This window comes from Homo sapiens, chromosome 8 (genome assembly GCF_000001405.40).
Source record: "Homo sapiens chromosome 8, GRCh38.p14 Primary Assembly".
NCBI classification, from domain to species: Eukaryota; Metazoa; Chordata; class Mammalia; order Primates; family Hominidae; genus Homo; species Homo sapiens.
The window spans coordinates 89,886,054-89,910,704 of record NC_000008.11 but is presented as its reverse complement, the minus strand read 5'-3'; the positions used below and the strand labels follow the sequence as shown (position 1 = coordinate 89,910,704).

General features: G+C 39.7%; 1 protein-coding gene, 1 long non-coding RNA gene and 1 pseudogene across 4 annotated transcripts in view, besides 7 other annotated features; 2 read left to right on the top strand and 1 right to left on the bottom strand.

Moving 5' to 3' along the window:
• The window catches only part of OSGIN2 (oxidative stress induced growth inhibitor family member 2), a 26,021-nt gene extending 17,184 nt beyond the window's left edge, over positions 1 to 8,837 (bottom strand). Inside the window, exons 1-2 of one of the 3 annotated variants that reach the window (NM_004337.2) lie at positions 8,580 to 8,837; positions 984 to 1,138 (exon numbers count right to left, since the gene is read on the bottom strand). In NM_004337.2, coding sequence (NP_004328.1) covers positions 984 to 1,050 — 67 coding nt within the window. In that variant the 5' untranslated portion in view covers positions 1,051 to 1,138; positions 8,580 to 8,837. Of the gene's footprint in view, positions 1 to 983; positions 1,139 to 7,473; positions 7,497 to 7,867; positions 8,136 to 8,579 lie in introns of those variants that run through there. The other 2 variants (NM_001126111.3, XM_011517287.4) reach the window with 2 other exon arrangements.
• Positions 6,511 to 6,570: a silencer, noted in NCBI's record as "silent region_19348". NCBI's record gives its function as "represses an Ori minimal core promoter by ATAC-STARR-seq in GM12878 lymphoblastoid cells {active_cell/tissue: GM12878}" and the evidence as "EXISTENCE:reporter gene assay evidence [ECO:0000049][PMID:35858748]".
• Positions 7,564 to 8,013: a silencer, noted in NCBI's record as "silent region_19347". NCBI's record gives its function as "represses an Ori minimal core promoter by ATAC-STARR-seq in GM12878 lymphoblastoid cells {active_cell/tissue: GM12878}" and the evidence as "EXISTENCE:reporter gene assay evidence [ECO:0000049][PMID:35858748]".
• Positions 8,044 to 8,383: a silencer, noted in NCBI's record as "silent region_19346". NCBI's record gives its function as "represses an Ori minimal core promoter by ATAC-STARR-seq in GM12878 lymphoblastoid cells {active_cell/tissue: GM12878}" and the evidence as "EXISTENCE:reporter gene assay evidence [ECO:0000049][PMID:35858748]".
• Positions 8,044 to 8,431: a biological region, named in NCBI's record as "ReSE screen-validated silencer GRCh37_chr8:90914502-90914800".
• Positions 8,133 to 8,431: a silencer, noted in NCBI's record as "fragment chr8:90914502-90914800 (GRCh37/hg19 assembly coordinates)". NCBI's record gives its function as "represses an EF-1alpha promoter that drives an FKBP-Casp9 reporter gene in an ReSE screen in HepG2 liver carcinoma cells {active_cell/tissue: HepG2}" and the evidence as "EXISTENCE:reporter gene assay evidence [ECO:0000049][PMID:32094911]".
• LOC124901974 (uncharacterized) lies at positions 8,299 to 24,651 on the top strand. The gene is made up of 2 exons (XR_007061001.1): positions 8,299 to 8,686; positions 11,249 to 24,651. It is a non-coding gene; the product is annotated as an uncharacterized LOC124901974 (long non-coding RNA).
• Positions 8,725 to 9,490: an enhancer, noted in NCBI's record as "OCT4-NANOG-H3K27ac-H3K4me1 hESC enhancer chr8:90913443-90914208 (GRCh37/hg19 assembly coordinates)". NCBI's record gives its function as "activates a minimal SCP1, AML or CMV promoter by ChIP-STARR-seq in primed H9 embryonic stem cells {active_cell/tissue: H9 hESC(primed)}" and the evidence as "EXISTENCE:reporter gene assay evidence [ECO:0000049][PMID:30033119]".
• Positions 9,491 to 10,256: an enhancer, noted in NCBI's record as "NANOG-H3K27ac-H3K4me1 hESC enhancer chr8:90912677-90913442 (GRCh37/hg19 assembly coordinates)". NCBI's record gives its function as "activates a minimal SCP1, AML or CMV promoter by ChIP-STARR-seq in primed H9 embryonic stem cells {active_cell/tissue: H9 hESC(primed)}" and the evidence as "EXISTENCE:reporter gene assay evidence [ECO:0000049][PMID:30033119]".
• RNU6-925P (RNA, U6 small nuclear 925, pseudogene) lies at positions 9,881 to 9,984 on the top strand (annotated as a pseudogene).

The following is a 24,651-nucleotide window of genomic DNA, read 5'->3' as shown; positions in this document are numbered from 1 at the left end:
TTCAGGATAGAAAACCAAGGTTAGAGGTAAGGGGGAAAATGAAACATGACGTATGGTCCCTGATATCTCTTGGTTGAGAACTATTACAAAAACTGTCACCTCTATCATATCCTGTAGAGGAGAATCTAGTATAGAACCTAGTATAGAACAATCTTGCTCTCCTCTTTTCCTCCCACAAGCCAGAGGACATGAATTTTCTCCCCTTCCTACTAACTTTGAAACAAGCTGTCAAAGAAACAAAGGAAGTCATATGCTACCAAGGCACCTATATTCCTTAACTCTCTCCTCTGGCTTAGTTAGCTTCACACTATATTCCTTGTCTGAATTCCTCGACTTTGTATATTAGATGAAAAATATACATAACAGGTAATTAAATGCATGCAATAAAACTAAATTATAAAAGCTTATAAATCTGAATGTTTTATTAATAGTTTAATTTTTAATATCTTAAATGCCTATCTGCTGAGGTGATACAAAGGATATAAAATAGTAGTGTTGTGGTTAAGGTAACTGTAAACATTACCTTAGAGTACTATAATGTCATTGCTAATACAGCACCGGTTACTAACTTGCACGTTACTCAACATCTGTGTCAGTTTCTCTGTCTGTATCCGCCCTACCAACATCAGAAGTCTGCAGAGTTGTAAGGTATTATCCAATAATATACATAGAATACTCTTCAGAGCTCTAATAATATTATCACATTACCATGACACTGTCATATAATTAACACAAATGTAGGAGATATTTTAAAATAATGTAGTAATATCAGTTCTTCACTAAAAAGATACTGCATTTTAACACAGATGCTAAAATCAGATAAACCAATTACTCTCCAAAGATTTGGTTATTAGTTTTTTAGCATATCAAACCACCTAAGAATACTTTTCAATAAAATCTTAAGAACTTGTACTAACTGTAGATTTATAAAAGTATTAAGGGTCATTAACTATAATTTTAAAAGATAAAATACAATAACTTACCTATTATTACCACAGGAAAAGTCACTGACGAATCTTCCAGTAAAGAAGTTTCTTCAACTAATGGCATCGCTTTAACTTTTCGCCCCAAGTTGTCACCAAAGTATTGCACTAAGGAATTAAAAATCTCTCCTTCAGTTTCAGTGTCACTATAGTTTCTTTAAAAAAAAAAAAGGGGGAATAAAAAGAGATATAGTCAATATAGCCTTTATAAAAATCAATCTCTACTCCGAGTTTATTTAGACATAAAATATTTTAATCATTCCATAAAAGAAGCAAAGAAAATCCTTCTGATTAATGCTTTCAAATTAGTAGCTTCGCTACATGTCAACCTATACCAACTTGAAGGCCAAATATCCCCAATATTAATAGTTGCTTTTCTCTCACAAGTATCTTCTAGGCAAGTCTCTAATAAGCAGTTCTCTCATGATCAAAGACAGCATGGTGTTGAGGAGTTCATAATTCTCTGAAACTAGCCTAGAAATGGCTAGTGTCTCCTCCATACCTTTCTTTTTAAAAGGTGAGTGCACTAAAATACAATATATAGTCATACACATTTTAAGAAAAAGTTACGGTATTTATATATTATAAATTGTGCATTTTTGTATAAGAAATTAGGTTTATACATTTTTATTCAAAAAATATACTACATATACATTATATATATATATATGTATATATATATATTTTTTTTTTTTTTTTTTTTTTTTTTTGGAAACAAGGTCTTGCTCTGTCACCCAGGCTGGAGTATAATGGCGCAAGCATGGCTCACTGCAGCCTCCACCTCCCGGGCTCATGTCATCCTCTTGCTTCAGCCTCCAGAGTAGCCAGGGCTACAGGTGTGCCACCACACTTGGCTAATTTAAAAAATATTTTTTGGTAGAGATAGGATCTCGCTATGTTACCCAGACTTCAAAAATATATTAAAATAATTTCTTAATGTTATTTTCCAATTTTTCTTTCTCAATTGGCTCTCTAGAAATTAGTTTTAGCATTCTCACATTTTCATGCAATACATGGAGTATCTCCTGCACACAGGTAATGTTCTGCATTATACAACAGATTACTTTAGAATAGAATCCCTTAATTAATTTTATCTTCATACAGTCAGTAACAGCCACAATGTCTGGAAGTATTAAATTAAGTATCTACTAGTGGGTAAGTGTGTTTATTACTACTCTCAGATGATAAATAAGCATGGGATAGATCAGTTATTTCACAAGATTGAACTCACTGATCCCAGAGGAGGTTGATAAACAGAAAAGAATCAGGCAGAGACAGGCATTTCTACTTCCCTATAACCTTCAGAGTTCCCAGTCTACCCTAGGATAGGCGAGACTTCCTCAGGACATACTGAGAGCTTTCTTGAAGCAAAGAAAGTAACCTGTACCCCAAATATTTGGTTTCCCCTTACATAGCCTCTTTTGACCAAAACAGACACCAATCAGACATGGCTACTAAGGGAAACCCCTCCTCACAGTGCAAGCCTACCCTTGGGAGGAAGTTTTATATGCTCAATCCATCTATTTCTGACTCATTCCAACTACTGCCTCTGATCAGATCCAGATGCCTCAGCTGTCTTGCCCATGCCCGCTTCTACCTCTTGGCAACTGCATTTAACATGTTTTATATTCTGCTCTGTCCCTGGTATTTCTCCAAAGTATGTGCAAAGGTTAGGTTCTCCTGTACCTTTGGAGGCTTCTGATCAAAGTCATTTTGATCAGAAACCTCCAAACCACTGCTCAAAGAAATCAGAGATGACACACACAAACCACTGCTCAATGAAATCAGAGGCGACGGGAATGGGAAAACATTCCATATTCATGTGTAGGAAGAATCAGTATCATTAAAATGGCTATGCAAATTCATACAAACTGCCCAAAGCAATTTATAGATACAATGCTATTCCCATTAAACTCCCGATGACATTCTTCAAAGAACTAGAAAAAACTATTTTAAAATTCATATGAAACCAAAAAAGAGCCTAAATAGCCAAGGCAATCCTAAGTGAAAAGAACAAAGCGGGAAGCATCACCTCACCTGACTTCAGACTATTCTACAGGGCTACAGTAACCAAAACAGCATGGTACTGGTACAAAAACAGACACATAGACCAATGGAAGAGAAAACCCACAAATAAGACCACACACCTGCAACTATCTGATCTTTGACAAACCTGACAAAAATAAGCAATGGGGAAAGGATTCCCTATTCAATAAATAGTGCTGGGATAACTAGTTAGCCATATGCAGAAGATCTAAACTGGATACCTTCCTTATACCACATACAAAAAGTAACTCTAGATGGATTAAAGACTCAAATATAAAACCCCAAACTATATAAACCCTGGAAGACAACCTAGGCAATACCATTCAGGACACAGGCACAAGCAGAGTTTGATGAGGAAGACGCCAAAGGCAATTGCAACAAAAGCAAAAAAAAATTGACAAATGGTATCTAATTAAACTAACGAGCTTCTGCACAGCAAAAGAAACTATCAACAGAGTAAACAGACAACCAACAGAATGGGAGAAAATTTTTGCAAACTATGCATCCAACAAAGGTCTAATATCCAGCATCTATGAGGAACTTAAATTTACAAGAAAAAACAACCCCACAGAAAAGTGGGCAAAGGACATGAACAGACACTTCTCAAAAGAAGACATACAGGCAGCCAACAATCATATGAAAAAAAGTTCAACATCACTCATTAGAGAAACGCAAATCAAAACCACAATGAGGCACCATCTAACACCAGTCAAAATGGCTATTAAAAAGTCAAAAAATAACAAATGCTGACAAGGTTATGGAGAAAAGGGAATGCTTATATGTTGGGGGGAGTGTATTAGTTCAGCCATTGTGGAATAGTGTGGTGATTCCTCAAAGACCTAAAGATAGAAATACCATTCCACCCAGCAATCCCATTACTGGGTATATACCCAAAGGAATAAAAATAATTCTATTATACAGACAAATGCACGTGTACATTCACTGCAGCACTATTCACAATGGCAAAGGCATGGAATCAACCTAAACACCCATCAATGATAGACTGGATAAAGAAAACATGGTACATATGCACCATAGAATACTATACAGCCACAAAAAAGAATGAGATCAGGTCCTTTGCAGGGACATAGATGGAGCTGGAGGCCCTTATCCTTAGCAAACTAACACAGGAACAGAAAACCAAAGACCACATGTTGTCACTTATAAGGGGGAGCTAAATGAGGAGAACACATGGACACACAGAGGGGAACAACACACACTGGGGCCCACCCGAGGATGAAGGGTGGGAGGAGGGAGAGGATCAAGAAAAACAACTAATGCAAGTTTGTTCAACCCACATGCGGCCCAGGATGGCTTTGAATGTGGCTCAACACAAATTCGTAGACTTTCTTAAAACATTATGAGATTTTCTTGCCATTTTTTTAAGCTCATCAGCTATCATCAATGTGAGTGTATTTTATGTGTGGCCCAAGACAATTCTTCCAATGTGGTCCAGGGAAGCAAAAAGAGTGGACACCCCTGAACTAATGGGTACTAGGCTTAATACCTGCGTGATGAAACAAACTCCCATGACACATGTTTACCTATGTAAGAAACCTGAACTTGCATCCCTGTACTTAAAAGAAAAAACAGAATATTAAGTTTTTCAATCCATGAATATAGAATTCCTTTCCATTTATTTAGACCTTTAATTTCTCTCAACATTTTGTAGTTTTCAGTGCATAAGTATTGCATTTATTAAATTTATTCTTATGTATTTCATTTTTTGATGCTATTATATAAATGAAATACCTTTGTTAATTTCATTTTAAATTATTCAGTGTTAATGTACAGAAATACAATTCACTTTTGTATGTTGATTTTGCATCCTGCAACACCGTTGAATTTATATATTAGGTCTAGTAGTTTTTTGCATGTGCAGCCCTCAAGCAATGAAGAACCAAAGTTTAGTTTATCCAAATTCTCTACACATTAGCTTATCTAAATTTACATAGTATAGGTAATCTGCTCTGATTTTTCAGGAGCCACTGGTATAAACTCTGTGATAAACTATTTGTAGTAAACCTGCCTCCTATTTGATAGTGGTTTAACACAAAGAAAAACAAGGAAACAAAAACGGAAAGTGTGATTCACTGGTTTTACATAAAACATTAATGAAACAAGACTTTTAGTAATTATTCTTTCTAAAAAATTCAGAGCTTAAGTTATAAATTTAGTATTGCTGTACATGTTTTATAGTACATGCACAGTATATCACAGGTCTATGAACAGTGTTAATCTCTAGATTTCCAATTTGATATTTGTTCTATTTAAAACAAGAGCTTATTTTGAGTAATAAAAATCTACTTTTTCTTCGAGGCACAAATTAAAATTGGAAAATATGTACAATTACATTTAGCAACTAGTAAAGAACAGCACTTTACATGCAAAATTAGTTACTCTATTGTTAGGAAGCAAGTTAAAAGCCTATTTGACATTTAAGATGCTTTTAGAGGCCTTCCATTTTTTGTTTTTGAAACATTACAGCACAAAGTTTCAGAGAACATTTCAAAGGATAGTGTGGACATAGTATCAGGATAACAAAAAGACTTTTTCCATACCATAGCAGTACTTGTTTAAATGATCATTCAAACTAAAATGAAATGCTTTACTAACTGAATTTTTATAGTCTTTGGAACCATGAACCTAAAATTTACCAAATTTATACTACCACATGGAAAGAAGGTTCTAAAGCCACAAATGAAGTCAGTCACACTCTTCATCTTCCAGAACACGAAGGAAGAGGTTTTTTCCTTTGGAAAGTTAGTGGACAGTTCTCTCACTACTTATCCATTCAGATGTTAGACAATAGATGTCACAACCTGTTTTATAATCTGTGTTTTTTTGTGTGTTTTTTGTTTTTTTGAGACAGTCTCACTCTGTCGCCCAGCTGGAATGCAGTGGTGCGATCTCAGGTCACTGCAACGTGTCTCCTGGGTTCAAGCTATTCTCCTGCCTCAACCTCCCGAGTAGCTGGGATTACAGGTGCACACCACCCTGCCCGGCTAATTTTTGAGTTTTTAGTAGAGACGGGGTTTCACCATGTTGGCCAGGATGACCTGAACTGACCTGAAACTGCTCGAGAAATAGCACTGGTAAATCAGAAACATATTCCTGAAGGAGCTGGTAAACAACTAAAAAAAAAAATACTTTAGACACAACAGAACTGTTTTTGCAATAAAAAGTGTGGTTTATTAATCATAATGTTTATCTTTGGCAGCTAGCTTGTTTTTCTTTCTGTCCCTCCAGACCAAAACATAGCAAATACTTTGTTTTCACTCCCTACTCCAAATTTCTGTGCACGGCAGGAAGCAAATGGTATTCAACACCCAGTATTAGTCAAAAGAATATGAATCCTACACTGTGCATCAAAAGGTGTCAAATAGCTTTCACACAATATTTTCTGAAAGGCATGTTAGATTCTCATGGGCTTTATTTAGTTTAACAAGTTTCACTAGGGGAACCTATTTCCTAAAAGTTTCCATAGTGAATCTGATACCTTCAAACCGCTGTCTCAGTAGTCAACAAATTTGCCTAAAAGTTAAAATCAAGCAGTTTATTATATGAAACAATTTTTCCTTAATATCCACAACCTAGAGACTCATTCTAAACTCACTGAGAGGTTAGACAAGCTTGGATTATCGCTGTTACAAAAGAAGTTCCAAACTTTCTCTATGCCTTACATCTCTTTTACTATAGGATGACGCTTCTTAACCTCTTCTCTGAATACTGTTCTTAAATATACACAGGATTTACAAGAAAACTAATTCTATTAAAACAGTCATAAAAAGTAAACGCGATATATATATGTGCTTCTCTGTTGCATTCAATAAATTCAGTGATGTGTTACTATAATTTTGAATAAGTATAAACAGTATTTCTATATTAACTGCAATGTGATATAAACATATTTTATGATCTCTACTGATGACAGTCACAGATACTACTGTGATTTGTTGCTTATATTTTAACTGAATATTAGTTTTTAAAATTTAGTGAAATGATATACCTTTCTTTCCATCCAAGTTCATGGGTTACCTAAATTGTATGAAACCCACTATTTAGGAAGGCTTGATCAAAATTTCATATTTTACCAGGGAAGAAGTCTTACATAGAATTATTCTGGAACATCAGTATATGTAAAGCAAGGTACTAAAGTATTCCCTATGCTTAACCATTCTTCACCCCAGGGTTAAAATCAGTTTCTAGTGTCTGGTCTTTCCACCAATGACTGAGGTGTTGACCAAATGTGCTAGATCTAGAAAACATACTTTTATTTTAGAAATGTATTATATTTTATCACCCCTAAAACCTTTCCCCATAAGGTGATTGTAAAACCGCCTCATTCTTTAAATTTCTACAACACACACGTCTTACCATGGCTAACATCTTAACAAGGCAGAATCTATTTGTGATTAGATGACACTGAAATGTAGTTCCCTACCTTCCTTCCACTCATTACATTATTTAGAAGACTTTTTAAGAAATAATTTTTTTTTAGGGAGGCAGGCACTTCGTAGAACCCCCTTCACTAAAACTTTGCACTACTGGGAAGTCTCAGCTCGCCGTAACCGACTCAGTCCGGCCTAGCCGATCCCGCAGTCCCGTGACCCGCGCGGTCCAGAGCGAGAAAAGGGAACAGCGCAGGGCTCCCCGGAGCAAGGACCCCACCACACCGCACCCCACCCCACCCCCACGCCAGGCAGGACGGCCGAGGCGGGAGGACGCTGCGGTCCAGGCGCTCGCCCTCCACCCCGGTCCCGGCCCGGGCCAGGCCAAAAAGCTCGAGAGCGCGGCATCCCCGCCTGCTCCCCTCCCATCCCCGGCGAGGAAGTCACCTGAAATGACCGGCCAGGGAGCAGCGGCAGCACCACACGGGCATGGAGCGCTGCGCGAGGGGCGCCCGAGCGCGGCCGCCGTGGCCGCCTCCGCCTCCCCCGGCGAGGCTGCCCGCTCGGGGCGCCCGCTGGCTCGGGGTCGCGGGGTCTGCCGGGCGCCCCTGCCTCGCGCCTCGCCGTTGCCGCGGCTGCCCCGGCTCTGTGGCGCCGGAGTCCGCCTCCAGATAGCGGCTTCCGCTCCTCGCCTGCAGGGAGCCAGGCGCCGGAGGCGGGTGATCTCGGGGCGCCGCGATAGGGGCGGAGCGGGGCGGGGACGCTGCGACGGCGGCTGCAGCGGCGCGCGGGCCCCTCCTCGCAGGTGCGGCTGCGGCGGGCGAAGTCTGCGATTGGTGGAGCCACGGCCCGGGCGAGGGGCCGGGCCTGATGGAGCCGAGGCTGCGCGGGCAGGGGACCGAGGTCTGCAGGCAAACTGCGCGGCTCGACCGGCGGCAATCGAGACCTAGACCTCGGTCAGCGCCCCGCCGCCCCTCTGCGTGCGACTTGGTGAGGCCGGTGGGTGCGCGTCGAGAGGGCCGAGGGACGAGCGGAAGAGAAGCTGCTGCGAACTCGGGCCACCCAGATGGCCCGGCGGAGTTCCCTGCGTAAGGCGCGGCCTCGGCCACTTCGCCGAGGACCCCGGGAAGGGTCGAGCTTCCCACGCCTGAGAACCCACCTTTGGGCATTTCCTCGCGCTGCCGGGGTGCAGACGCCGGGAGCTTCCGGGTGCCTCTCCCGCTGACCCCCGCATCACAGTTACCTGGAGGACTCACCAAACCACAGGTGCCCGGGACCCGCCCACCACGCTTCTTTTATGGAAGTCCCGCTTCCGGGAAGAGGTCATCCTCCCCTCTTCATGTCTCTCAAACACCCACAAGTGTAGGAATTACCAGCACGCCGGGTGAAAATCCAGGTGCTCATCAGGCCCGCCCCAGACCACACCGGCCAGTGTGGGGAAGGGCAGGAACCCCTGCTGCTTTTTAAGCCCCTGCGGGCGTTTGTGATGCAATAGGGAGTTAGAAAAGTACTCAATAGTGAGTGTCGTTATTCGGTTTGTCAAAAATTAAAGGTGGGGAGGACAAAAATCAGGAGAGATTGATTGCATCTACTTTTCTACGGAAATGTCTAACTCCGCTTCCAAAAAAAGCCGTAATTATTTTTGTGCTTCAAATATACGTTTATGTTTATATCTTTCAACATAATTTTGTAAAACAAATGTTAAGTTTTACTGAATGTTGTCACTGAACAAACTTGTGATGAGCAGGTATTTTAGAGTCTTGGGGTCTTAAAAGAAAATCATAGGACTCAGACTGCCCCAGAGTTATGCAATCTAAGAGTATATTAACCACTTTTAAGTATTATATGTTTTTCTCTTTTTTGAGCTTTTGTCGATTTGACACGTTCATTTCATTTGAATGTTGGTTCTGAAAATGAAGCATGTAGTTACTTTTCCGTTAACATACATAACAGCATTTTAAAGTACCTAAATTCCTTTTGGAAGGCCGAGGCGGACGGATCACCTGAGGTCAGAAGTTCCAGACCAGCCTGACCAACATGGTGAAACCCGTTTCTACTAAAAATACAAAACCTAGCCCCGGGCGTGGTGGCACGCGCCTGTAATCCCAGCTACTCAAGAGCCTGATGCAGGAGAATCGCTTGAAACCGGGAGGCGGAGGTTGCAGTGAGCTGAGATCGCGCCACTGCACTCAGCCTGGGCCAAAGAGTGAGACTCCGTATCAAAAAATAATAATAAAGTACCTGGCCGGGCGCGGTGGCTCACGCTTGTTATCCCAGCACTTTGGGAGGCCGAGACGGGCAGATCACGAGGTCAGGAGATCGAGACCATGGTGAATGGCGTGAACCCGGGAGGCGGAGCTTGCAGTGAGCTAAGATCGCGCCACTGCACTCCAGCCTGGGCGACAGAGCGAGACTCCGTCTCAAAAATAAATAAATAAAGTACCTACATTCCTAAAAGCAGTGCTTAATTCTGCAGCACATATACTAAAATTAGAATAATATAAAGATTAGCATGGCCCCTTCCCAAGGATAACACGCAAATTCGTGAAGCGTTCCGTATTTTTAAATATATACACCTACTATGTAACCAAAAAAATTAAAAATAAACATATAAATTCCTGAAAGCTATGCCAGTCCAATCCAGATAATTCTTTTAATTTTTAATTTTTATTTTTTGTGAGTACATGGTATATATATTTATGGGGTACATGAGATTTTGATACAGGCATACAATAAGTAATAATCACATCAGGGTACATGGAGTATCCATCACCTCAAATATTTATCCTTTCTTTGTGCTACAAACAATCTAATTATACTTAGTTATTTTAAAATGTTCAATGAATTATCGTTGACTAGTCACTCTCGTGCTGTCAAATACTAGATCTAATTCTGTCTATACTTTTGTACCTATTAACCATCCCCACTCTGCCCCTTAATTCCCCACTACCCTGCCCAGCCTTGTAACCATCATTCTATTCTCTGTTAGTTCCGTTGTTTTAATTTTTAGCTCCCACAAATAAGTGAGAACATGCAGAGTTTGTCATTCTGTACCTGGCCTATTTCACTTAAAGTAGTGACATCAGTTGCATCCATTTTGTTGAAAATAACAGGATCTCATTCATTTTTATGGCTGAATGCTACTACGTTGTGTACATAAACCACATTTTCTTTATTTGTCTATTGATGGACACTTAGGTTGTTTCCAAATCTTGGCTGTTGTGAACAGTGCTGCAATAAACATGGGAGTGCAAGTATATCTTAGGATATACTGATTTCCTTTCTTTGGGGTATATACCTATCAGTGGCATTGCTGGATCATGTGGTAGCTCTATTTTTAGCTTTTTGAGGAATATCCAAACTATTCTCCGTAGTGGCTGTACTAATTTACATTCCCACCAACAGTGTACAAGGGTTCTCTTTTCTCCACATCCTCATCAGCATTTGTTATTGCCTGTCTTTTGGATATAGGCCATTTTAATTATGATGAAATGATATCTCATTGTAGTTTTGATTTGCATTTCTCTGATGATGAGTGATGTTGAGCACCTTTTCATATACTTATTTGTCATTTGTATGCCTTCTTTTGGTAAATGTCTATTCACATCTTTTGCCCATTTTAAATTTTTTTTTTTTTTGAGAGATAGGTTCTTGCTCTGTCATCCAGGCTGGAATGCAGTGGTTTGATCTAGCTCACTGAAGCTTCGAACTCCTGGGCTCAAGTAATCCCCCCACTTCAGCCTCCTGAGTAGCTGGGACTAGAGGTGTGCACCACCACACCTAGCTAAATTTTCTTTTAATTTTTTTTTCTTTTTTTTTTTTTTGTAGAGATGGGGTTTCTACAAAAAAACAGCCTGCCCATGTTGCCCAGGCTGGTCTTGAACTCCTGGCCTCAAGTGATCCTCCTGCCTTGGCCTCCCAAAGTGCTGGGATTACAGGTGGGAACCATGGTGCCTGGCCCTTTTGTCCTTTTTAAACTCAGATTATTATAATTTTTCCTATTAAGTTGTTCATGCTCCTTATATATACTGGTTATTAATCCCTTGTCAGATGGATAGTTTGCAAATATTTTATTCCCATTCTGTGGATTGTCTCTTTGTTGATTGTTTCCTTTGCGGTGCAGAAGCTTTTTATCTTGATGTGGTCACATTTATCCATATTTGCTTTGGATGCCTGTGCTTTCAGGGTATTACTCAGCAACTCTTTTGCCCAGCCCAATGTCCTGGAGAGCTTCCTCAATGTTTTCTTTTAGTAGTTTCATAGTTTCAGATCTTAGATTTAAGTCTTTAATCCGTTTTGATTTGATTTGTGTGTATGGTGAGAGATAGAGGTCTACTTTCATTCTTCTGCATATGGCTATCCAGTTTTCCCAGCACCATTCATTAAACAGACCGTCCTTTCTCCAATGTGTATTCTTGGCACCTTTGTCGAAAATGACTGCAGATATATGGAGTTGTTTCTGGGTTCTCTATTCTGTTCCATTGTTTTTTTTTTTTTTTGAAATGGAGTCAGCCTCTGTCACCCAGGCTGGAGTGCAGTGGCAAGATCTCGGCCCACTTTTACCTCCACCTCTTGGGTTCAAGCGATTCTTCTTCCTCAGCCTCTCAAGTAGCTGAGATTACAAGTGCGTGCCACCATGCCTGACTAAGTTTAGTATTTTTAGTAGAGACATGGTTTCACCATGTTGGCCAGACTTGTCTCGAACTCCCGGCCTCAAGTGCCGCCTCGGCCTTCCAAAAGTGCTCAAAGTGCTGGGAATACTGGTGTGAGCCACCATGCCCAGCTAATTTTTGTACTTTTAGTAGAGACAGGGTTTCACCATGTTGGCCAAGCTGATCTCAAACTGACATCAAGGGATCCACACGCCTCGGCCTCCTAAAATGCTTGCATTACAGGCATGAGCCACTGTGCCTGGGCCCTCTTCCACTGGTCTTTATGTCTGTTTTTATGCCAATACCATGTCATTTTGGTCGCTATAGCTCTGTAGTATAATTTGAAGCCTGGTAATGTGATTCGTCCAGTTTTGTTCTTTTTACCCAGGATAGCTTTGGCTATTCTGAGTCTTTTGTGGTTCTATATAAATTTTAGGATTTTTTTTTCTATTTATGTGAAGAATGTCATAGGTATTTTGATAGAGATTGCATTTAATCTGTAGATTGCTTTGGGAAATATGGACGGTTTAACAATATGGATACTTCCAATCTGTGAACATGGAATACCTTTCCATTTTTTTGTGTCCTCATTAATTTCGTATAGTTTTCACTGTAGAGATCTTTCACTTCTTTGGTTAATTTCTGGGTAATTAATTTTATTTCTAGGTATTGTAAATGGAATTACTTCCTTGATTTCTTTTTCAGATTGTTCACTGTCGGCAATAGAACTGCTACTGATTTTTATGTGTTGATTTTGTATCTGCAACTTTACTGAATTTGTTTATCAGATCTAATAGTTTTTTGGTGGAGTCTTTAGGTTTTTCCAAAGATAAGATCACATCATCTGAAAAGGATAATTTGACTTCTTCGTTTCCGATTTGGATGCCCTTTATTTCTTTCTCTTGTCTGATTGCTCTAGCTAGAACTTCTGGTACTATGGTGAATAACAGTGGTGAAAGTGGGCATCTTTGTCATGTCCCAGGTATGAGAGGAAAGGCTTTAAATTTTTCCTCATTCAGTATGATACTTACTAGCTGTGGATCTATTGTATATAGATTTTATTATGTTGAGTTTTATACCCAGTTTTTTTAGGGTTTTTATCATCAAGGGATGTTGAATTTCATCAAATGCTTTTTCAGCATCAATTAAAAAGATCATATGGTGTTTGTCCTTCATTCTGTTGATATGATGTATCACATTGTTTTGCATATGATGAATCATTCTTGCATCTGAGATAAATCCCTCTTAGTCATGATGAATGATCTTTTTAATGTGTTTTTGAATGCACTTTGCTAGTATTCTGTTGAGGATTTTTGCATCAGTATTCATCAGTGATATTGGCCTGCAGTTAATTTTTTATTTTTATGTATTTATTTATTTTGATGTGTCTACCTGGTTTTGGTAACCGGGTAATACTGGCCTCATAGAGTGAGTTTGCAAATATTCCCTCCTCTTCTGTTTTTCAGAATAGTTTGAGTAGGATTGGTATTAGTTCTTCTCTAAATGTTTGGCAGAACTCAGCAGTGAAGTCATTGGGTCCCAGGCTTTTCTTTGCTGGAAGATTTTTTTATTATGGCTTTGATCTCATTACTTGTTATTGATCTGCTCAGTTTTTGGATTTCTTCATGGTTAAATTCTGGTAGGTTGTATGTGTCTAGGAATTTATTCATTTCTTCTAGATTTTTCAATTTATTGGCATATAGTTGCTCATAGTAGCCACTAATGATGCTTTGAATTTCTGCAGTATTAGTTATAATGTCTCCTTTTTTGTCTTTGATTTTATTTATGTGGGTCTTCTCTCTTTTTTCCTCAGTCTGGCTAAAGGTTTGTCAATTTTATCTTTTCAAAAACCAACGTTTTGTTTCATTGATCTTGTTTATTGTTTTCCTCGTTTCAATTCCATTGATCTCTGCTCTGATCTTTATTATTTCTTTTCTTCTACTAATTTGCAGTTGGTTTGCCTTTGCTTTTCTAGTTCTTTAAAGTAAATCATTAGTTTATTTGAAGTTTTTCTACTTTTTTGATAATAGTATATAGCTATAAACTTTCCTCTTAGTACTGCTTTTGCTGTATTCCATAGGTTTTGGTATATTGAGCTTCCATTATCATGTGTTTCAAAAAAAGTTCCAGTTTTCATCTTAATTTCTTCATTGACTCAGTTGTCATTCAGGAGCATATTGTTAATTTCCATGTGTTTGTATAGTTTCAAAAATTCCTCCTGTTATTAATTTCTAGTTGTATTCCACTATGGTCTGAGAAGATACTTTATATTATTATACTTTACATTTTTGAATGTTTTAAGGAAATGTTATGTAAATATCTATTAGGTCCATTTGTTGTATCATGCAGATTAAGTCCAACGTTTCTTTGTGGAATTTCTGTTTGGATGATTCATTCAGTGCTGAAAGTGGAGTGTTGAGATGTCCCCAGCTGTTATCCTATTGGAGTCCATCTCTCTTTAGTGCTAATGTTTGCTTTAGATATCTGTTGCTCCAGTGTTGGGTGATATGTATTTAAAATTATTATATCCTCTTGCTGAATTGACCTCTTTATCATTATATAATGAGCTTTTTTGTCTCTTTTTATAGTTTTTGTCTTCAAATCTATTTTGGCTGATATAAGTATATCTATTCCTGCTCTTTTCTGGTTTCCATTTTCATGGAATATCTTTTTGAATCCTTTTATTTTCAGTCTATGTATTTCTTTATAAGTGAAGTATGTTTCTAGTAGGCAACAGATTGTTGTGTCTTGTTTTTATCCATTCAGCCCTGTATGTCTTTGGATTGGAGATTTTAGTCCTTTTACATTCAATGTTACTATTGTCAAGTAAGGTCTCACTCCTGCCATTTTATTGTTTTCTGGTTCCTTTGTGGTCTTCTCTTCCTTCTTTCCTTCCTTCCTGTCTTCCTTTTAGTGAAGGTGATTTTCTCTAGTGGTATGTTTTAATTTCTTGCTTTTTGTTTTTTTGTGTGTCCATTGTATGTTTTTTGATTTGAGATTACCATGAGGCTTGCAAATAACATCTTATTACCCATTATTTTGAACTTATGACAACTTAACACTGATTGCATAAACAAACAAGCAAGCAAAAAGAAAACTAATAAAAACTCTACCCTTTAATTCAGTCTCCCTGCTTTTTAACTTTTTCATTTCTATTCATATCTTGTTGTATTATCTATGTCTTGAAAAGTTATTGTAATTATTTTTTTTGACTGGATCATCTTTTATTCTTTCTACATAAGATATTAGTAGTTTATACACCATAATTACAGTGCTATGATAGTCTGTGTTTTCTGTGTGCTTACTATTACCAGTTAGTTTTGTACCTTCAAATGATTTCTTATTGCTCATTAGCATCCTTTTCTTTCAGATTGAAGAACTCCATTTAGCATTTCCTATAAGACAGGTCTGGTGTTGATAAAATCCCTCAGCTTTGTTTGCCTGTGAAGGTCTTTATTTCTTCTTCATCTTTGAAGGATATTTATGCTAGATATACTATTCTAGGGTAGAAATTTTTTTTCCTTCAGCACTTTAAATGTGTCATGCCACTCTCTCCTGGCCTGGAAGGTAACCACTGAAAAGTTTGCTGCCAGACATATGGGAGCTCCATTGTATGTTATTCGTTTGTTTTCTCTTGCTACTTTTGGGATCCTTTCCTTATCCTTGACCTTCGGGAGTTTGATTATTAAATGCTTTGAGGTAGTTCTTCTTTGGGTTAATTCTGCTGGGTGTTCTGTAGCCTTCTTGTACTTGGATATTGACATCTTTCTCTAAGTTTGGGTTTGGGAAGTTCTATGTTATTATCCCTGGGTTTGGGAAGTTCTATGTTATTATCCCTTTGAATAAACTTTTTTTTTCTTTGGCATAAAATGCAGATCCTGCACAACCTTTGAATAAACTTTCTATGCCTATTTCTCTCTCTACCTACTCCCTAAGGCTAATAACTCTCAGATTTGCTCTTTTGAGGCTGTTTTCTAGATCTTGTAGGTGTGCTTCATTGTTTTTTATTCTTTTTTCCTTTGTCTCCTCTGATTGTGTATTTTCAAATAGCCTGTCTTCAAAGCTCACTAATTCTGCTTGATCAGTTCTGATGTTAAATGGCTCTGCTGTCTTCAGTATGTCAGTTGCATTTTTGAGCTCCAGAATTTCTGCTTCATTTCTTTTACTTATTTTAGTCTCTGTTATATTTATCTGATAGGATTTTGAATTCCTTCTCTATGTCTTCTCTGTGTTATCTTGAATTTCTTTGAGATTTCTCAAAACACCTATTTTGAATTCTTTTTGAAAGGTCGCAATATGTCTGTCTTTGTGGAACAGGGATTTTTCACTGGTGCCTCATTTAGTTCATTTGATGAGGTCATGTTTTCCTGGGTGGTCTTGATGCTTGTGGATGTTTGTCAGTGTCTGGACATTGAAGAGTTAGGTATTTATTGTAGTCTTTGCAGTCTGGGCTTGTTTGTACTCACGCTTCTTGGGAAGACTTTTCAGTTATTCAGAAGCACTTGAGTATTGTGATCTAATTTTTTTTCCCACCGCAGCTGTATCTGGATTAGGGGGCGTTCCAAGCCCAGTAACACTATGGGCTCTTGCAGACTCAAAGAGATACTGCCTTGGTGATCTTGGGTAAGATCCGGTAGAATTATCTGGATTGCCAGGCAGAGCCTCTTGTTCTCTTCCCTCACTTTCTCCTAAACAAATGGAGTCTTTCTCTCTCCACTGAGCTGCCTAGAGCTGCAGGAGGTGTTGCACAAGCTCCTCTGTGGCTACTACCACTGTTACTGCACTGGGTGAGACCTAAAGCCAGCATAGCACTGGGTCTCGTCCATGGCCCACGGTAACCACTGCCTGGCTACCACTTGGGTTCACTCAAGGTCCTAGGCCTCTACAGTCAGCAGGTGGCAAAGCCAGCTAGGCTGTATCCTTCCCTTCAGGGTAGAAAGATCCCCCTGGTCCTGGGGGCATTCAGAGATGCCATGTAGGAGCCAGAGCCTGGAGCTGGAAACCTTAGGAGTCTACCTGGTACTCTATTCTACTGTGGCTGAGCTGGCACCCAAGCCACCAGACAAAGTTCTTCCCATTCTCCCCTTCCCTTTGCACAAGCATAGGAGTCTCTTCCCATGGCCACCACCACCCCAGGCATGCAGCAAGTACTGTCTGGCTACCTGCTGTTATTCGTTCAAGGCCCAAGGGCTCTTCAGTCAATTTGGTAAATGCTGCCATGCCTGGGACTTTTTCATCAGGGCACTGGACTTTTCTCTGGCGCAAGGTAGGTCCAGAAATGCCATCTAAGAGACAAGGCCTGGAATCTGGGACCCCTGAGAGCCCACATGATGCTCTACCCCACTGTGGCTGAGCTGGTACCTAAGCTGCAAGACAGAGTTCCTTTATTCTTCTTTCTGCTTTTCTCAAGCAATAGTCTATCCTTGTAGCCACCACACCTGGAAATATGCTTGGTCACACTTGAAGCTAGTACAGCACTGGGTCTCACCCAAGGCCAACAGCAAGTACTGCCTGGTTACCACTGCAGATTTTTCAGGGCCCAAGGGTTCTTTAGTCAGCAGGTGATGAATCCTGCCAAGACTGGGTCTTTCCCCTCAAGGCAGCAGGTTCCCTTCTGGCCTACGGTATGTCTAGAAATGTCATCCTGGAGCTAGAGCTTGGAATGGGGGCCTCAGGACTCTGCCTGATGCCTGTCCTATTGCTATTGTGGCTGAGCTTGTATCCGAGATGCAAGACAATGTCCTCTTTATTATTCCCTCTCCTTTCCTCAAGCAGAAGGAAGGTGTCTCTTTGGAGCTCTGCTGCCTGGGGTTACGGGAAGGGGTGGTGCAAGCACTCTAATTGGCTACCCTAGCTGGTGTCTCACTAGGTCACATGCCCCCCATGTCCACTGACTCCAAACCCAGCACAGCACCAGGACTTGCCCAGGAATGGCAGTCCTTATGGCCTAGACCACCTTTCAGCTCTATTTAGGACCGCAGAGCACTTTAGCCCGTGGTATGAGGTCTGCCAGAATGCATTCTGAGCACTGGGGTGGGCGAGTCCCCTCTGGCTAGGGCAGGTCCAGATGATCCCTTCATGGGTGCTGCCTGAGTTCTGCCTGGTGGTGGTTTCCACTGTTACAGGGCAGCACTGAGTTCCCATGCCAGTTTCCACAATCACTGCACTCTTCCTCCTCCAAGTGCACGGGTTCTGTCTCGGCACCATTGGGCCACTGCCAGGGAATGGGGAAGGGGTTGTGTTGGCAATGCAAGACTATTTTTCCTACCCTTTTCAGGGCCTCTTTCAGTGATATGAAGTTCAAAACACATACTGTGATCACTCACATGGTTTTTGTTTCTCATGAAAGTACTTTTCTGTATGGCAAGTTGTTCAATTTGGTGTTCCTGCAGGAAGAAGGATTGGTGGAGGCTTCTATTTGGCCATCTTGCTCTGCCTCCTCCCCAATCCAGATAATTTAAATAATATCTGACACTTACAGAATGTTTACAAGATCTTTGTATAAATTGTTCTTTTATGTCTTTGTTTTCATTTTGAGTGTTGTTGCAGTATTTTCAGGTTAAATAATAAAGCAGGCATATCAAATTTTAGCCTTAATCTTAGCTTTGCATTTAACCTTGTGAACTTGTTGTCGTGGTTTGCACTTCATGATGACTTGTGATTAAAGCAGGCCACAATGACTGCATAGAGGATTATTCTTACAGCAAATGGGTTATATCAATATTTTCATATTTTTATTTTGAAGTTGTAGGTGGGGTCTTATTTAAATATAAAACCCAGAGTTGGTGAGATTGTAGAGAAACAACTCAGATCCTGTTGGTGAGAGTGCAAATTGGTATATAAGCTAAAACTCCCAATACCTACATGATAGGAACTCAGTCCTCCTTTCAGTGCCCACAGTAGTATATTTACAGTAGGGCTTATCTCACACACGTAACCGTGCCAGTTCATGGTACCTTCTCAGTCTCCAGTGTCACCTGTTGTAAAATCCTTACTGAACAACACTTCTTACTGATATATAATGTACCAGCATTTTATACATTAAATTATAACATAGTAGCTAAGAGAATTGTCTGTGTTGGAATCTTTACTGTACTAGCCATGTGATCTTGGTTAAGTTACTTAGCACCTCTGAGCATCAATTCCTCATCTGTAAAATGAGGATAATTGAATTTATCTCATTGGTTGTAAAGATTAAATAAGAAAACATTTATAAAACATCATAGTGCCTGGCTCATGTTAATCACTAAATAAAGGTTTTTACAATTATCAATATTGTAAAATATTTTTACATTTTCTAAAAGCAAAATTCTGGAAGTATGTGCTGTGCACTAAACTGTGTCTACCTCAAAATTCTGATGTTGACGCCCTAGTCCCCAGTGTTGACTGTATTGCAGATGGGACCTATAAGGCAATAATTAAGGTTAAATGAGGCTATAAGTGTGGGGTCCTAATCTGATAGGGTTGGTACCATATAGGAAGATGAAGAAACACCAGAGCTCACTCTCTCTCACTCTCCAAGAAATCGACAAAATGGGAACAGAGTATTCACCAGGAGGCAAACTGGGGGGCAATCAACCAATCCTTGATCTTGGATTTCCCAGCCTCGAGAACTGTGAGAAAATAGATTCCTGTTGTTTAAGCCGCACGGTTTAGGGTATTTTGTTATGGCAGCCTGAGGTGACTAAAATAGTATGTTTATGCATTTTTCAAAAGCAAATAAATAATTCTAATGTAAACTATTCAGGATAAACTGTTGTATTTCATAAATTCGCAAATCTGTCATTGGCCCTGTTGTAAAAGGCCATAATTTGACAATGTAAGACTCAGGGGGTTCTAGTAAACATAGTATCTGACACTTTCAGAATGTTTATAAGTAGCATACATAAATTTTTGCTTGAGGTCTTCATTTTCATTTTGAGTGTTCTTGCAGTATTTGCAGATCAAATGGTAAAGTGGGTATATCAAATTTTAGGCTTAACCTGGTTACATTCATATATTTCTCCTTTATTAACCTGAAGCTCTGGGAAGCTCATATGCCTTTCAGATTTATAATCCTCAAGCCCACTGATACTTTTTTTTTTTTTTTTGATGGAGTCTTGCTCTGTCACCCAGGCTGGAGTGCAGTGGCGCGATCTTGGCTCACTGCTAGCTCTGCCTCGCGGGTTCACGCCATTCTCCTGCCTCAGCCTCCCGAGTAGCTGGGACTACAGGCACCGGCCACCACGCCCGGCTAATTTTTTGTATTTTTAGTAGAGACAGGGTTTCCCCGTGTTAGCCAGGATAGTCTCAATCTCCTGACCTCGTGATCTGCCCACCTCGGCCTCCCAAAGTGCTCATTGATACTTTTTGGTACAGTATTCCGTTTAGCTGTCAGCTTGGAATTCTCATCAGTTAAATTATCTGTCTAGATGGCAAATAGTAGGAATGCTTCCCTGAGTACATACAAAATTGAGGTAGGGGCTGTGCTGGGAACTTAAATGAGCTTTGCCCCTAGAGTTTGGTCTCAGAGGACAGAAAGAAAAATACCAAGGAGGCTTCTTGCTGAAAAGTACAATTTATTTTTGTGACTATTGTAGCAGTCAGGTTCAGTTACAGAGAATAGAATTCATAGAAATCATTCTATGTGCTCTATAATTTAAAGATAAAAAGAATTTCTCAACAAGTATTACATATTCTGCTGAATCATAGGAGGGCTGAAGAAACATAGAACTCTGAGAAAAATTCCTAGAGTCACACTATAAGAGCAAGCCACCAAAGAAGCTGCTGCCTGTCTCTGAACAAAAAGCTGCCTACAAAATCAGAAAACTGCAGCTACAGCTGCTGACTCCAGAATTATACTGGACATGCAACATTTTAATTTTTTATTGTCTGTGTCCCTCTACTACAAAGTCAGTTCAAGAAGTCAGGAATTTTTTTCTTTGTTCACTGTTATATACACAGCACTGAGAATGAATCTTGACTTGTAGTAGGAATGAATACTCACAGTCATAGGTAGCACTCACCCACTAAACCCAGCTGGGCTGATATTGGGTAAACCTTTTAACTAAGTGGAAAGAATAAACATGAGTCATGAGAGATTTATTTCTCTGTCTCATAGTCTGTAAGGTCAGTTGGTAGGCTCAATTTGCATTACTACAAGATTAAAGAAAAGAGGAAAAGTAGAGAACAACAGAGAAAGAAAAGATAAATCCTAAGAATTTACATTTTCAACATCAGAATAGTAGAAGTTCCTGAAAGTTAGAGAAGAGAAAGTGGTTGGATGAAACTTGCTTAATAAGAAAAAAATTTCAGAACTAAAGGGAAACATGATTCTGCAAATGTAGAAGACCTACTGAGTACTGAACAGAAAAAAGAAAAATATGTATATACATAGATATATCATGAAATTTAAGGATAGCAAGAATGAAGAGGATTCTAAAAGCTTCTAGGAAGAAAGTTCAAGTACTCCATAAAGGAATGAGAATCAGGCTGGCAACAAACTTTTGAGTGAGTGTTAAGATACAAGAAACCCTAAAAGTTCCTAGGAGAAATGACTTTAAACTTAGAATTCCTTTTTTTAATTTGGTCCACACAGGGTCTCACTTTGTTGCCCAGGCTGCTGTACAATGGCCCAGTCATGGCTCACTAAAGCCTTGACCTCCTAGGCTTAAGTGATCCTCCCTCTCTGCCTTCTGAGTAGCTGGGACTACAGGCGTAAGCCACCATGCCAGCTAATTTTTTTTATTTTTTATAGAGACAGGGCTGGGTGCGGTGGCTCACACCTGTAATCCCAGCACTTTGAAAGGCCAAGGCAGGTGGATCACCTGAGGTCAGGAGTTCGAGACCAGCCTGGCCAACGTGGTGAAACCCCGTCTCTAATAAAAATATAAAAATTAGCTGAGCATGGTGGCGGGCACCTGTAATCCCAGCTACTTGGGAGGCTGAGGCAGGAGAATCCCTTGAACCCAGGAGACGGAGGTTGCAGTGAGCCGTGATCACGCCATTTCACTCTAGCCTGGGAGACACGAACAAAACTCCCCCTAAAAAAAAAAAATTGGTTAGAGACAGGGTCTCGCTGTGTTGCGGAGGCTGGTCTTGAGCTCTTGGGTTCAAGCCATCCTCCCTCGTCAGCCTCCCAAAATATTGAGATTTGAGATTACAGGTGTGAGCCACCACGCCTCCTGAACTTGGAATTCTATACCATGCCAAACTATTGATAAAATAATGTGGGCAGAATGAAAAAGAAAATGAAACCCAAACTTTTGAGAAAGCTTTGCCTCACTAATATTCTTTTTTAGGATGTTTCTTGAGAATACAGGCCAAGAAAACAAGGGACTTGTTGAAGGAAATGAAGTGGATTGGGTCTGTGAAACAGTGGAACAAATTCAGAAATGCAGTGAACGCAAGTTCCAGGATAGTTATGCAACAGGAAGCCTGTCTATCCAGATTGAAAGACTTCAGGACTGTAAGAACTGCCTGTAGAAAAAAAGGAGTTCCTGGATTTGCTAGTATTCTGGAAATGTTGGAAGAATCTAGTCTAATGATGCCATAAAGGAAGACAATTCAAGACAAAGTAAAAAGGCAATTTATAATTTAATTGAGTAGGGTATATGACAAAAAGCTGTACCAAAAAACAAATAGAGACATAGAAGGTAACTTTCATGGACAGTGAATACTGTTTACACAGATGTAGCATAAATAGCCTTTACTGATTTTCAAAAATACAGTCCACCTGTAGGCAAAGCAAGAATTGCTTAACTATAGTTACAAAACAGGTTGTAAATGTGAAGCATGATAGTGTAATAAAGGAACCAAAGATGAAGACAAGGGTAAGGGATACAAAATTCTTATCTGGCAAAGTGAAGAGGGATTGTTTATATTGAAGCAAGAACTGTGAGTTACATTATTTAAAGTTGCAAATGTAATAAGTGCAATGCTGACTAGTGATATAATTTATTAGCTGTTATGAGTAGGGAAAATTTGTGGTGGTTTAATGTAGTTAAATCTTCATCTATCTTGGCAGGAAGTGAGTATGCAACATCTAAGATTGAGACATCAAAAATTCACAGCATGAGCAGATTGTTTACAGATGGGGTAACTAAAAACAATGAGGTAAATGTGGTTGCCTCTGGGAAAAACACTGGAGGCATTGGAAAGGGTTGGGTTGGGGGCCTGTTGTTTTTTGCATTCGCCCCCTTGAGTTCATTTGTTCTTTCATCTAACAGACACTTACTGTTTGCCAAACACATGTAAATGAAACGACTTTACTGAAGATTTGAGGACGTGAGATATTTTCTGTCACCACAGTGCCAGATTTAAAATTGAATATTAGAGAAACTTGTTCTTAAAACTTTTTGCTAGGCACTTTATGCCAACCATGTTGCTACCCTCTTCTCTCCGTTCCTCTTACATTCTCATTCTCTAACAACTTTTTCAGTCGTCTCACACCCATACACAGTCTTGTTTGTTGGTGTTATGGGGAACTCACAAATGGAGCCATAAAGAAGAAATATGACCTCTCCTGTGTTTCACCTCCAGTGGGGTTGACGGGAGGTCCCAGGATTTCTGTGAAGGGGATTTGTAGTTTTGGAGTTCCAGATGGTGACAACTCGAGCAGCAAGCCTGATGAGCATATTGAGCAGACTACTAAGAACAGGAATGAAAAACAAACAAACGAACAACAACAACAAAAAAAACACCCTTCTCTTTCCCACCTGTACCAGAATAGTGGCTCTGAACCATGGCTGCATATTAGAATCACCCAAGGAGCTTTTAAAAACATCGATGCCCAGGCACCACCTCTTCCCCTTTTGATGCTCTTCCTTCCAACTCCCACCACTACCAAATAAATTGAAAATGTAGTGAAGGGACCTCAGTCCCATGATTCAAATCATTAATATAAAAGTCACCTGCAATTTCTGCACAATTGATTGAATTGGGCAAAACAGATTAGAGCATTGAACCACTTTGTCGACGATTTTCAACCTGATATTCTAAGGAAGAGAACTTGCTCAGAATTTTGCATTGGCTGTTCCTTCTGCCTGGGACACTTTCCCTTCCTATATGCATAGCTTACTACCTCACCTCCTCAATGAGACTGACCTGCCCGCCAGGCGCCAAAATGGCACTCCCAAGCTCACTCTGCTCTACTTTCTTTTTATCGTAGCACTTATCAGTGTCTAACGTAGAATTTGCCCACTTCTTGTACCTATTGTGTAATGTTTGTTTCCACCCACTAGAATGTAAACAAATATGATCAGGTATTTTTCATTTCATTCACTGATGAAACTTAAGTATCTAGAACAATACCGAACATGACTGAGCACTCAATAAATACTCGTTGAATTTCAGTGGCCTCTCAAATAGCATTTAACTCATTATCTCCATAAAAGATAAGTGTTAACCCATGTTATGTAATATGTTTGGAATGTGCTAGCATTACACGCTTGCATAAAGTTTTTTGAAGAATTATATACCTCACCAGGCAAATATTCTGTACCCCTATGAAGCCTGCTGGATATCTGGGCTGTCAGTCAGAAGATCTGGGCTATAATCTCATGTTGTCTGTTAAATAAATATGTAATATTGATCAAAGTA